The sequence below is a fragment of the Homo sapiens genome, chromosome 18 (genome assembly GCF_000001405.40).
Source record: "Homo sapiens chromosome 18, GRCh38.p14 Primary Assembly".
Lineage (NCBI taxonomy): Eukaryota > Metazoa > Chordata > Mammalia > Primates > Hominidae > Homo > Homo sapiens.
The window spans coordinates 65495015-65509036 of NC_000018.10; the positions used below are offsets into that span (position 1 = coordinate 65495015).

General features: G+C 30.9%; 1 long non-coding RNA gene across 1 annotated transcript in view; it reads right to left on the reverse strand.

The window, feature by feature from the left end:
* Positions 1 to 11658, reverse strand: part of LOC105372169 (uncharacterized) — a 41781-nt gene extending 30123 nt beyond the window's left edge. Inside the window, exons 1-3 of the long non-coding RNA XR_935583.2 lie at positions 11542 to 11658; positions 3526 to 3646; positions 2888 to 2926 (exon numbers count right to left, since the gene is read on the reverse strand). This is a non-coding gene — a long non-coding RNA (uncharacterized LOC105372169). The remainder of the gene's footprint in view (positions 1 to 2887; positions 2927 to 3525; positions 3647 to 11541) is intronic.
* Between the last annotated feature and the right edge of the window lie 2364 nt (positions 11659 to 14022).

Below are 14022 nucleotides of genomic sequence, written 5' to 3' on the forward strand. Positions count from 1 at the left end.
GATTGGACATCTGTGTATACGTGGTGAGCCAAAAAAAAAAAAAAAAAAAGCTTGCAAAGTCCAAGTTATGTGCAAGTTACTTTGCGAACGAAATTTTCGCCAATGACATCATTGTTTTGAATAGTGTCACCATTACCAAGATGTCAGCATTTCTTGGAAGGAATTAAGCAGCATGTCCATGGTCATTTCTTTGTTTGCTCTGAACATTTCTAGGAAAGAAATAAGCCAGGAGACCTGATCTAATTCCCTGGGGAGCATAATAATAACAGACCACCTGACAAACAAGTGCTAGAGATTTTGTTAGCAGAAGAGTTGTTATCTATTCAATGCTTTTAACAGTATATTCCTTGTTCTTATAGATTGTTTAGGGTGAACAAGTTACTAACCTATCATTCGTATGACCTGACTCCAAGGAAAGTATCCTATCAATCATCCATACCAATATGTGAATATAAAATGAAGATGTTTAATGAACTTAATGATTCTTTTTGATATGTAAGTGAGGGGATAATACCAACTAGAAATGGCATCTATCATCTTGGGCAAATGCATATCAGGTATGTAAAGATTATATTTCCATTGGTCTATATGTAGACCAATGTAGAAATGGGTAAACAACACTTGTGGAAAATTAGAAAAGATGGAAATGTTTTAATATTAAGTTTAAAAAGTACTTAAAGTCATGTGAAATCTGTCAAGATAGTTAAGAGTTATTGGGACAGGATTCAGAGTAGGATGGAGGTATAGGGAGTGAGCCCAGTATTCAAGGTCAGTTTCCTCTTAGAAGCATGATACATCTCAGAGCAGGCACTTGAAAAGCTCAGAGCCAAAGGTTAAGCACTGCAGTTATGGCAGCCTCACAATGTTAGTGGGACAATAGTCAGAGTCCAAGACTGAGACAAATGTCTGAGTAAACTCTATTAATTTGGATGATATTCTGAAATATTGCATCATAGAAGTAATGTAAGCTGGAAACCAATGTGAACTATGAAAGACCTTAGAACACATTTGAATCATTTTATTGAAACCAATTTACTTTGAAATGCATCAAAATATAAAATTCATTGATGGATATATATATATATATATATATATATATATATGTGAATAGATATATATGCGGAAAAGTAAATGTGTTAAACCTAACAATGACAGGATCTACGTAGTAGAAGTGTGGTTGTTCACTATAAATCAATTTGATTTTCTTTCTTTAAAGATTTTCATACTAAAATATTGTGAAAATGTGAATAGAATTAAGACTTTTCCTGGCCAAAAATTATACTATACCATGATATTACCAGTACACATATGTTAAGTAAAGTATTAGAGAATATGGGATCTTCTCAAGAAGGCAAAGCTTTCTAGATGGAAGCTAAAAGATGTATGAAGAAATGATGAGCAAGAAAAACAGTAGGTATAAATAAATGTTGATTCCACATAACAACAATAATAAAGACATATATCAAGTGTATGTATTGCTATGTAATGTATACTATTTAAAGTAAATAGAATGGTCCCAACTAACATTAAAACCGTATTTTTTATAATCATAGAGTAATTTATGAGAACACTTTTAATAGTAAAGAGAGTGGACCAATGTCAATTAATGACAACAAAAAATAAAAAAAAATATGATCAATTCAAAAGAAGACAAAAAAGTAAGAAAAAAGGGAAAGATTATATGAATATAAATGACTTTTTAAAAGTCATTAAATTGTGTATCTAATGTAAATAATATGCTCTACACTCAAATTGCATATAAAGATTGTAAAACAGTATAAAATTTTCTCAATTATTTGTCATTTACAAAGGAAATGTCTAAAATATAAAGATATATGAATAAAACTGAATGGATAAGCATAAGCTTTGCAAACACTTATTAATATGAAAATATTGATGTCAAAATAGACATCAAACCAAAAAGCATTACTAGTGATAAATAGACATTGTATTATGCTGAAGAATTTACTTAGTTAAGAAATTATAAAGTTTTATAATCATACAAAACTGACATAAACAATGGAAAAATAAACAAACCAATAATTTTAGAAGGATTATTCGAACTATCTCAAAAACTCATAAACAAAGACACCAAAATCAGTAAAGATAAAATAAAGATTAGGACGTCACAATCAGTAAAATTAATGGTGAAGATATCGCACTCCTTAAACTGCAGAGTGTACTTTCTTTTCAAGTATGCACTAGACATTTACCAAAGTTGACCATATGTTGTGCCATATAGAAGGTCTTTATAAATAATTTTTAATGTTGGAAATCATACACATCATCGTATCTTGCTGAAAATAAATTAAACTAAAAATTAATAAAAATGATAACTAGAAAATCCTTGTTGCATATTAAATAATGCACTTCTAAATAACTCATAGAACAAATAAGAAATTACAATTTTAAATATAAATATATTAATTACCTAAAAGAAAATGAAAAATTTAAAAATATGAAATGTTTTATTGTCACAATTGGCTGGTGGTTATATGAACGTTCTCTTTGTGACAAACTATTGAGCTATAGATGTTTATTTTGTGTGATTTTCTGTACCTGGAATATATTTTTAAAATGCTTAAGGAGAAGCATATTACTCTGGTACTTTGGCCACAGAAAGTAAGATAAGATAATTCAATATATCCACGAAAAATATAATGATTTGAGATGGAGAAAAAAATATTATTGGGGATTATATCTTTTTTATATGGTTTATAATTTTGCCTAAGCTAAAAGGATATTTACCTTTATGTTCTGATTGTTTATAAAATTATGAAGAACTATCTCCTTAGGTAACATACACACATAAATAACAATAGTGGTTACTCCACAGATTCTGGAACCTAAATTCACATTCCAGGTTTACCAGACACTACTCCTGTACCTGTAGAGAAGTAATCTCTCCATGTCTCAGTTTTCTCATCTGTAAAATAAAAATTATACTATATTATAATAATAGTAATCTATTGGGCTATGTGAGTAGATACATTTAAAATGAGTAAAACAGCTCCTGGTCCATAGTAATTGCTCAATAATGGTTAGCTATGTTTTCTTCTCTATAATATTCTCAGTTTGCAATGCAATTTTTATATAAGAATAGTCCTTTACAAATCAGAAAATTATCTGTGACTATAAAATTTGACCACAAAGTATCTGTTATTCTTAAATAAAAACTATCCAGTTGGATTAACTGCTTTTATTCAATTTATTTCTGCTTAAAATTACAATGTTGTTCATGAGAATATGAACAACTTCTCTTTGAAAATTCTAAGGATTAAACAGCTATGCTTTTTTTCACATGAAATATCAGTCTTTACAACCAACATATTACAATTTTCATGATTACAATTTAATTGAAAATATTTTCCTTGGAGGGAAAGTCTGTTGGTACCTTGGTGATAATTTTATTTTTTTTAGTACCTCGTTTATAAATAAACTCTGTAACATATTATTTCTTAACTGAGGTAGGATTTTATGTTACTATGTAACAAATTTCCACAAATTTATTAGCTTAAATGATACCTATTTTATTGGCTCACGGTATGGTAGGTCAGAAATCTGGCATCGCGTGTTGGTTCTCTGCTTGGGGTTTTACAAGGCTGAAATCAAGGTGTTTGTTGGGCTGAGTTCTTATCTGGAAGATCTGCAGAGAAATATCTGAGCTCATGCAGTTTGTTGGTAGAAGTCAGTTACTTGCTGTTGTTAAACTGAGATTTCCTTTTCCCTGCTGGCTGTAAACTGGGAGTCCCCCTTGCTCTCAGAAGCCACCTGTACTCCTACTTCAGTGGAGCCCTTCAACACCAGCAAAAGAATGTCAAGTCCTTTGACTTTGAATCTCTCTCACTTCCCCTTCTATCACCAGCCAAATAAAGCACTCTGCTTTTAAAGGTTCATAGGATTAGATCAGGCCCACTTGATCAACTGATCAACCATGCCATATAATGTAACCTAATCACCACAGTGATATCCCATCATTTACAGTACTTGGGATTAGGATATGGAATTTTAGAATGAGAGACATCCTGTTTTTTGCTTTTCACAAATGATGTTATGGCTGGCTAAAAGGGCTCCTTTTGTACATCTCTGTCTACTCAAGGTGAGGACCATGGATCTTATTCCATAGTTCTAGAGATAAATTCTTTGCGATTTCTAGATGCTTTAACTACAGATACTTCAAAGATAGGAATGAAAATTACAAGGTCTAAGGATTTTCTGGTAATCCATCCTGTTCAGCAGTGGAACAGATTAAGTTTTGATGTCATAAACTTGTTGCTACAGAACTTATTTTGCTGATAGAAAATGACTGCCTAGTTTGGATATAATGTGTAACATCTCTGCCATAGGGAGGAAGACTAGACAAAGAACTCTTTGTTCCCTCCCAACTCTGGTATTCTATAAGTCAAAGACTTTAAGAATGACTTACTACATAGCCTTTTAAATGTAATTTTTTGTGCTTCTAGTATTAACCTTGAAACATTAATTCAGTTTTTTTTTAAAAAAAGAGATTCTAAGAGAAAGCATAAATATTATCTGAATTTCTTACATTTTACATATGTCAAAACAAAAGTTCCAATAAATTAAATGACCTTTTCATCTTCGTCAACAACAGAATTTTGGCCCTAAGCTAGATATTATGGTGCCAAATACATAAGTCTCTGAATACATTTGGCTTCTTCTAAGCCAAATATAAGCATAGGGAAAAATGTCAGGATAAATAAGGCCTAATGTTAACACTGGAGTTTTTCATTCTCTCTGCAATCTTCATGGATGGAAATGATTTTGATAAGTTGTTGAGGCAGCAGTTTCATGTCTATTCTGAGTGCAAAGAGACTGAAAGAAGACAAGATGAACTTTCAAGGAGAGATCAATATGGAAATTCCTTACTGAATGAATATAAATGAGTTAATTTGATAGAAGACATATTAAGTTTTACTAGAGACATTCCTGGAAGAAAGCAGAAATCCTATGAAATGTACTATAAATTACTTGGAATTTTGTAATTTTTAAAAATGATGAAACTGTTTGAGAAAACAGATAATGTAAGCAGAAGGCAGGAAGTGGCATTTAGAATATTCAGCAGTATGAACTTGAAGGGAAAGGCTTTATGAATATTCTTTCCAATTTGTCACAATAGCAAATGGACACTGATTCCAGAATAGTAGATATTAAAAGAAAACTAAGTTAACTGTCTGGGTGGGATAGATTTATGAATATTAATTCAATTCAATAAGCTTTTATAAGACTCTGCTGTGCATGTATCCTCAAATTAGGTACTAGGTGATTAAAATTAATAATAATAATAATAATAATAATAATAATAATAATAGCTTTTGACCTAGTAGAAGAGGGGGCAATTTTTTAGCTAACTAGAAAGCATGTCAGATTATAATAAATTCTGCAATTGTAAATATAAATAAAATATGATGGAATCACAAAGGAGAGAGTAACTAAATTGGCCAAGCAAAATCAGGAAAGGATTCAAAAAAGTAGCAAATTTGGGCTGTTTGTCAAAAAAATTCAATGGGCTAAATTGAGTGGAAAGAAATGCCAATTAGACGGAATAGAATAAAACAGGATGAAATAGCATCAGCAAAGCCAGTGAGTCTCCCAAGTGTTTGCTGTGACCAGAGAGGAATGAAACACTAGAAGATAAGACCAGCAAGGTAATTTAAACACAAAGTAGAAAGGATCTTGAATATTGGATAAATTAAATAATCTTCTTTGTTAATAGAAAATCTGACTTTTTTAACATGAGTTGTCAAATAATGCTATCTTAAATATAATAATGGTAATAATATTTTTTGTAAACATTTGGAGGATAGGAATATAGAGAACATAGAATGTGAAGACATGGAGACCTGTTGGGAAATTATTACAGATACTCAAGTGGCTTATCATAGGGAATTCATATCAAATAAGACTGGACACAATGGAAAGTGGCTGACGGATTTAGCCACTTCATTTCTTCTCTGATTCTATATTACCCTTTAACTTGGAAAGCTGTATTGCCTTTTGACACTTTCTGTCCACTCTTACTAGATTTTGTTTTAGCTTCAATTATGTGATGCCATTTTCTGAGAACTTCAGAATTCTTTATAAAAGACAACCAAGGATCCATTCATAGGTACTTGATAAAACATATTCCTTTTTAAATTCATAATCCAAGTTATAAAAAGACTTTTATTGGACAACCGATATGCTCTGTGAATTACATGAATTGATATATACATGCTATGTAAATGCTTTCAAATAATAAACTTAAAAAGTAATAATGTAGGTTAATATAGTATATATTTTATTCTGCCATTTTTCTTTAATTATATCCCAAATAAATGTTCAAAGGCTCATAAAGTATATTTGTGTAGTATTCAATATTTTATATTATCATAATTTTCCTAGACATAGTAAGGGCTGAATATATTTAGTGCTAATTCTTAATTATATTTTCTAGGGAAGTAATAAGAAAGACATTTTTTACCTTACCCATCATATGCCTTTAACAACATCCACTTATTTTAGAATACGTTTTTATGCTTATTAATTACAACCTCATGTACTACCAAAGAACAACTATAGAAACTTAATATACATAAACCCTTATTTATTCAGAAATCTAACTCTTCATGTCAATCAGCACATTAATGGGAACACAATATGAATCAGTTGCTTCACTAGATGATTGACACTGCCTTACTAACTTCGCATAACCACTCAGAGAGATAGATATTATTTCATCATTTAATAGAGGAGAAAATTGGTTCAAATGTACAAAAATATTAATAAAAGTCTGTTAGTAGATTGGATTATCACAGTTTACACCCTAAACTATCTGCTCATTGTCTCCCAATATTCAATTCTTTTCCCTTCTTTTATAACAGATTTCATTTTGTTTGAAATTAGACCTACATATGGATAATTATATACAGGAAAGTCTACTTTTTCATTTAAAATCTATGAAACAGCTGAAAGTGCTATCCTCTTCCTGTTGTTTAAAAAAACAAAAACAAAAAACATCATACAGCTAGAGCAAACGGCTATTGTCTTTCTACTTCCTCTTCAATTGTGAATGTTAAATACAGCAACCGTCATGTCAGATGGGAACGTAATTCACAAACTAAAGATGTTAGAACAGAAAAGAAGACCAGGTCCTTGTGACATAGTGGAGCACTGGCCATGGATTTCTTGCCTCTGATTTTTTTTCTAGGTGAGAAATATACACCCTTACTTCATTAAGCCATTGTATTCAGTTTTCTATTAAAAGCAGCCCAAAGTAATGTAGATGATTGTATATGCCATTAAATAATAAGAAAGAAATTATGGGCTAGGTAGTTGGAATGAGTTAACTTAAACTGAACCAATCTTAGTTTTCAGTGTCTAAGCAACCAAAATTATTAAGCAAGCATATTATATACCAGTAATATGAAAAAAATGTAGAACATTATGAGCAAGAATAGGAATCTCCTGAAGTTTAGAGAGGCTACTCTCTGGAAGAGACGACACAAGTGTTTTGCATGCATCATCTTTAATCCTCGCTACAATGGAGGCTGCATACTGATTGATATGTAAAGAAACACAGTAGCAAATGATATGTACATTAAAACAGTGTATTTAGAAATACACACATATGTAAATATACATAACTAAAATATTATATGTGGTCATGTTTAGATAATTGGATAATGAATAATTTTTAAAATACTTAATCTTCTCATGTCATTAACTATGCTTCAAATTTAAAATTTTGTGTTCGCATAATTTATTTCCTATTGTTGTAAAAACTGCATCAAGATAATACAAAATAACAGCAGCCACAACAGCAATGACAGCATCCTCATACATAATTTTGTCTACATCTCAGTTCTATTCATAATTTTACACAAATTCACAGATGCAATTATTTAATCAAGGTGAATTAAATGTTCCTTGCCTGTTCATTAGATTCTCTACCAAACTATGAAAGGTTAACAGGACTGTGATGCTTTGTTAGTCATTGTGGCTAATTTGGAATAACTAAGATAATATATGGAAGTAGGAGTGACACAAGTCATGATAATTCCCAGATACAAGCTGTCTTCTTAAAGGTTCATATTATACAGATCTATCTCTTATGCAATAACAGACAGTTGAAAATCTCAGAGATGACTGAATAAGTCCTTCCCCAAATGGCATTTCTTTTCTTAATGAATAAGATAAAAATTTAATGATACAACTTATAATTTTTTCTCTGCCTAGTTATTTACAACTAATTTGGTGATGGTTTTATTTAGAGTTAATGAGTAAACATTTTTATTTTCATTGAAGTATACAGAATATGAAATTCTTGAGTTATTTGGCCATGGCCATTTAACATTTCATAGCAGTTAGGAAAATCAGGAAGCTGTCATTGTTATGAAGCCAAAATGTTTGACTTTTCAAATTCTAGCATCAGTATAGCAAACATAAGGTGAACACCAAAATTATAAGAAGGTATAAAGATACAATGTCAAGATGCAAAAATTACCAAGATCATCACCACTGTTATCATTATCATAATCAAGGCTCTTAACATAATATCTTAGAAAAATGAAGATGAGGCAACCTGGTAGGTCCAATTTTTCCAAATAGTTCTTGCCTCTCTAGATACGTGCAATCCAAAATATAATCTGTGCCACATAGGTAATGCTAAATTTTCTAGTAGCTGTATTACAAAAGTAAAAGAAACAAGAGAGACTAATTTTAATAATATACTTAATTTAGTAAGTCAAAAGTATTATTTTAATATTTAATCAACAAAACGTTGTTGAGATCTTTTATATTTTTAATTTTCCTACCAAGGTTTCAGAATTTTGTCTGTGTTTTACGCTGTAGCAATTCTCAATTTGGACTGGCCACATTTCAGTGCTTGATAGTCAGATGTGGCTAATGGATACCCAGTCAATATAATTCTAAGTAACCTCAAGATTGTAAGGCTTACCTCAGTAATCTTAGAAATCCAACTTTAAAACTTCTATAATAAATATTTTTGGCTTATTTGATTATCTTTTCATGTATTTTATAGGTTCAGAAATCTCAAATTTGTGTGTAGTTTACTTTTACCTTTTTATTTATTTCATTGTTTTTATACTTAAAGTATCCTTTCTGAGTATTGTCTAAATATTCAGTAGCACTTCTTATTTACAGTTTACAATTTAACTGAAGCCTCTTCATTTTATATTGGGTCTATTATGGCATGCAATGTAAGGGAAAATGATTAATAATTTTTGAATGTTTAGATAATTTTCTCTGTAATATTTATTGAATAATTATTTATTTTCCCATTGAGTTATAACATCACTCAATCATATATTCTATTAGGGCAATTATCTTTGCCTGTGTTGCTTTTTACTATTCTTTTTGATTAGTTTTAGAATCTTTTTGTCTAGATAAATATCACATTGGAATTCTATAAAATTTGTAATTAACATTGGAAAAATTCCTATATTTTTTGGATCAACCTGTATTTCATTGGCCACTCCAACCATTATACTCCAACATTTAACGATTTAACCTGTACTATATTGAACTTTATTTTTGGTATTCCTCTCTACCTGATATTGTATTGCTTATTGCCTATGATTGGTATGGCCAAGTAAGTTTCATTAGGGTAGTTCTGCTTCAAGCTCGTTATCTTTAATGCCTAGAACAATGTAAGCATATAGCAAATTCTAATAGATATATGCTGGACTAGGGAAGGTGGATAATTGAGATATTCACAATGATTAGTTTCTTTCTACAAGAATGTGGAAGTAGAATGATACTGACTGTTGAGCAAATATATAATGTTTAAAGGCCAATAACAATTTTTGAGAGAATTCAAAATGCCAATATTTCTGGAAGATGTGTATACCTTATTTGTTTGATCTCATGGTTACCTAAAGTGACTATTTGTTGAGTTTTGAAGCTGAGCTATCTGAGGATCAGGATCAGAGATTGTGTGCCTTACTCAAATTTAGAGTCGTACATGGAAGAGATCAAGTCTGAAGCTTTTTCTTTTTCTTTTTTTAATCTGTTGCATGTTACCTTTCCATGTGTAAATGCATGAAAGAAACTAACCTTGCAAGATTTTGTTCCTGGAAATGTGCTAGGGAGTCTCACATACATTATTTCATTTAGTACTTACAACAATACTTAAAGTTTAAAAATCTGCATTTTTCCTAGTAATACAAGATGGTTTGAAATTCAGAGAGTTATACAAATAAAAAGTATTCATAGTAGATATTTGACCACAGACCTAATTTGCATCTTGGCAATTTACCATAAATGACCATTTTAATTCTTACATTTTTCTCAGCATATTTACCTTTTTAAAGCACTAAAGGATTCTTAAGGCAAATAGAATTTTCTTAATGATCAATTCCATGATGAAATGATATAATAAACAGTGGCACTGGCTTAGAAAATTTGAGATAAAGGAGCTCTTAAATCTAAAAAAAAAAAAAATTCATAAATTGTCCAAATTTCTGACTCTTTTCATATCAAAAGGAGCCATTTTAGGAGCCTATGTAGAAAACAGGAAACATGAAATCTTTGTATGTTGTCCGCACTGTGACTGATGCAGTTTATACCAGCGTACATGCCACTAATAATCTACTGCACAATTTCATTTAAGCTACAGTAATTTAGCAGGAATCTGTGTCTATAAGTTTTAATTATCTGTTTAATCAGTTTTTGAATAAACCAAAGTAGGTTAATTTTTAAAATCCTACTTGGAGCATATGTTTTGACTAAATTTGAAACTTAGCCAACACTTGCTGAGATTGTAGGAAAGAAGTGAAACGGATACACTAACAAAAATTATATGTGCCAATATCCATAACTTTGCTTTGATAAATCGACAGTTTTCTAAGCATGATTCTTGTAATTAATTAGAAGGGGGTCATGAAACCAAATGCTCTGCTGTTTTAAATGGGAGTGTTTGATAGCAATGTGTTGTTATGTTATGCCAATTTCAAGAACAGACACTTGGAAATTTTAGTTGAGACAATATTATGATGTACCAGCATAGTATGTTGTGATCTGCATAGTTAAATGGACCATGTCCTTCTATATTCTAGTTCTTTTAGATTTGTGGGTATAACTGATCCCTTAGTATATTCTGACTGTTCAGGGACTATATATATTTATAGAACATGAAGGCATAATAGTATAGGGTGTCCCTAGTGGGTATAGTTAATCTGAATACTCATTACCACAATTCTCCAGGGATGGCAGTGCACAACGCAATGTGAATGCTAATTAATTTCAATATTCAATACTTAGGAACTAGTCTCTTGTCAAAATTGTTTTTCCACAATTATGTGGGAAAAGCAAAGCAATTATTTTCAACTGCAGAATTGAGAAAGGAAACTCAAGTTCACTCCACTTTCACTCAACACTGGGGAAAATATTGAACATTTATTACAGCAATAAAAGATACTGAAGCCCTGTCTTTAAAACATTGATTCCCAAAAGAAGCAATAACCAGCCATTTCAGTATGGTAAAGAAAAGAATTTTCATTTTTTAATACTTGATTGACGTACCTATGTTAAAATTTTCTATGATAGATCCTCAGAACGGAAATTATAGCTTATAGCAAATATTTCACTGAAAAGTTGGAGGTTGGATTCCTTGGGCATATTATTCTCCTTCTGGTGGAGAACATCTGTAAATTGGAAAGAAAAATGACATGAAAAGAAAATTGAAATCCTAACTCATGTGGAGAAAATTATACAAATTTTGTTCTAAAAGAACAGAAAGAATAGCTTATTAAGTGGCACTGAATGAGGTTTATTGTTTCTGGACAGGTGATATTCATTATAGCTACATAAAATATAATATTATTTCAATCTTATAAATTGCAACAACAGGAATTACTTTTTGATGTTATATACTTTAAAATGTGATATATAAGTGCTTATATTTTATTAATTAAAATATTAAAATTTATATTTTCTGTTGTTTTGTGCTTACTCAAGAGTGACCCACTTCCAAAAACAGAAATACCATAGAGATGATTCGCTGGCATTCAATAAGGAGATCCACTCAAGGATGAGCTCTTAGAAGTGTTTCCCTTTGCTTTCTCATTAATGAAGAAAAGGGTCCTTTCTAATTAGCAGCATATATTTAATATATTAAGGATGACTTTTTGTTGCTGAAATTAATGTTTTGATAATAATAACCATAATGGGCATTACACGTGGTTTTCACTGGTTAAATTATTGACCTAAACTGGATAGAAGATTTTAGCTTTTTCACCTTTAGTCGTAGGGAAAACAGCTCAGCTGCGATCCCTAAAACGGCTATCACCTGAACCTGATTAGATGGTTAATTGAGTTTTGGCTATTGCTCAATAGGCCGGTTTGCCTTGAGGGACCTTTTCATTCTAGACGCTCTGTGAGTAACAGAATAGGCAGAGACTGAGACTTCAGGTAGCTTCTAGACTGATTTTGTCTACTAACTCCTGTTTTGCTAATAAAAGTCAAAGAAATGGAAATAATTTTGTCTGGGGTTTGTTTTCACCATAGCCTTGATGTTGTAGAAAAGTAGCACATTTATATTCACCTTCAGGTGTCTCTGCACATTAACATTACCAAGAAATTAATAATACTTATGAATTCTAAAACTCGATTAAGTCAGTTAAATTTCTGATTTCTGCACAAGGCTTCAGGTTAAAACAAGTAAGTTGGAGCCAAAATCTGACCCCTGCTTTTCTGAATAAGCTTTATCCTTTGAGGGTTACATCATCCCAGAGGGATGAACTTCTACCAATGTAGATAAAGGCCATTATACTTCCCTTCTGACTCACCATTACCCTCTATATAGAAAGCTTAGAAATGAGTCTAAATATTTTCGAAGAACAACATTTACAAGAGAATTTATCTTTATACCAAGTTCACTCCAAGCTTGACAAATATGCAACTTATTTTTTAAAAATAAAGTAGTTAAATTGGTGAAGAAAAGATACAAAAGAGGGGTTGAAGTTATAAAATTGTAAAAGAAGAAAGGGACTCCATCTCATGCTAGAATATTCATCTATATCAATCTATCTAGCATAGCAATATGTATGTGTGGGTATAAAATGCTTATATATGTGAATACATAAATAATACATATATGTACACATATATAAAAATTATCTTGTTTTTCCAAATACATGTCTATCTATATCTATACATGCTTATGTTTATAATGTTAAAAGATAATGTTTAGGAAGAAGATAAAATCATGATTTTTATGCACATATAAAAGGTAAACATATTTAAAAATTCTATTTTAATCACATGACATGAGATAACTCAGCAGGTGTAATTACTGATATTAGGGAAAATCAAAAAGCACAAAACTAGAGAAAAGGAATACTGAAAAGTATTGCAAATGGAAACAATGCTGGTTATTTCACAGAAGGGGGATAAGTCAATTAAATTCGTACCATATAGAATATAATTTACATAATTATCAGGTAACTACAATTTACAAAGTGTACCAAAATATCCCCGAAACAATGAACAAAGCTAGATCTGAGAATACAGAAAGGATGCACAGTTCTAGAGGACAGATAATTTTCCGTGGAAACACAATTTCCCATTGTGATTTTGATTTGCATTTTTCCAATAGTCAGTGATGTGCCATGGTGGTTTGCTGGAACATGGATGGAGCTGAAGGCCATTATTCTTAGCAAACTAACACAGAAACAGAAAACCAAATAACCAAGGTTCTCATTCACATATGGGAGCTAAAAGATGAGAACACAGGGATATATAGCAGGGAACAATGGACACTGGGGACTACCAGAGGGTGGAAAGCGGGAGAGGAATAGAATCAGGAAAAATATATAATGAGTACTAGGCTTAATACTTGGGTGACAAAATAATCTGTACATCAAACCCCTATGACACAAGTTTACCTATATAACAAACCCACACGTATTCCCCTGAACTTAAAAGTTTAAAAAAGAAACACAACTTCCATAAAATAAGTACATATATAAAGTTGTATTGTTATACCTTATTTTAAAAAATTGA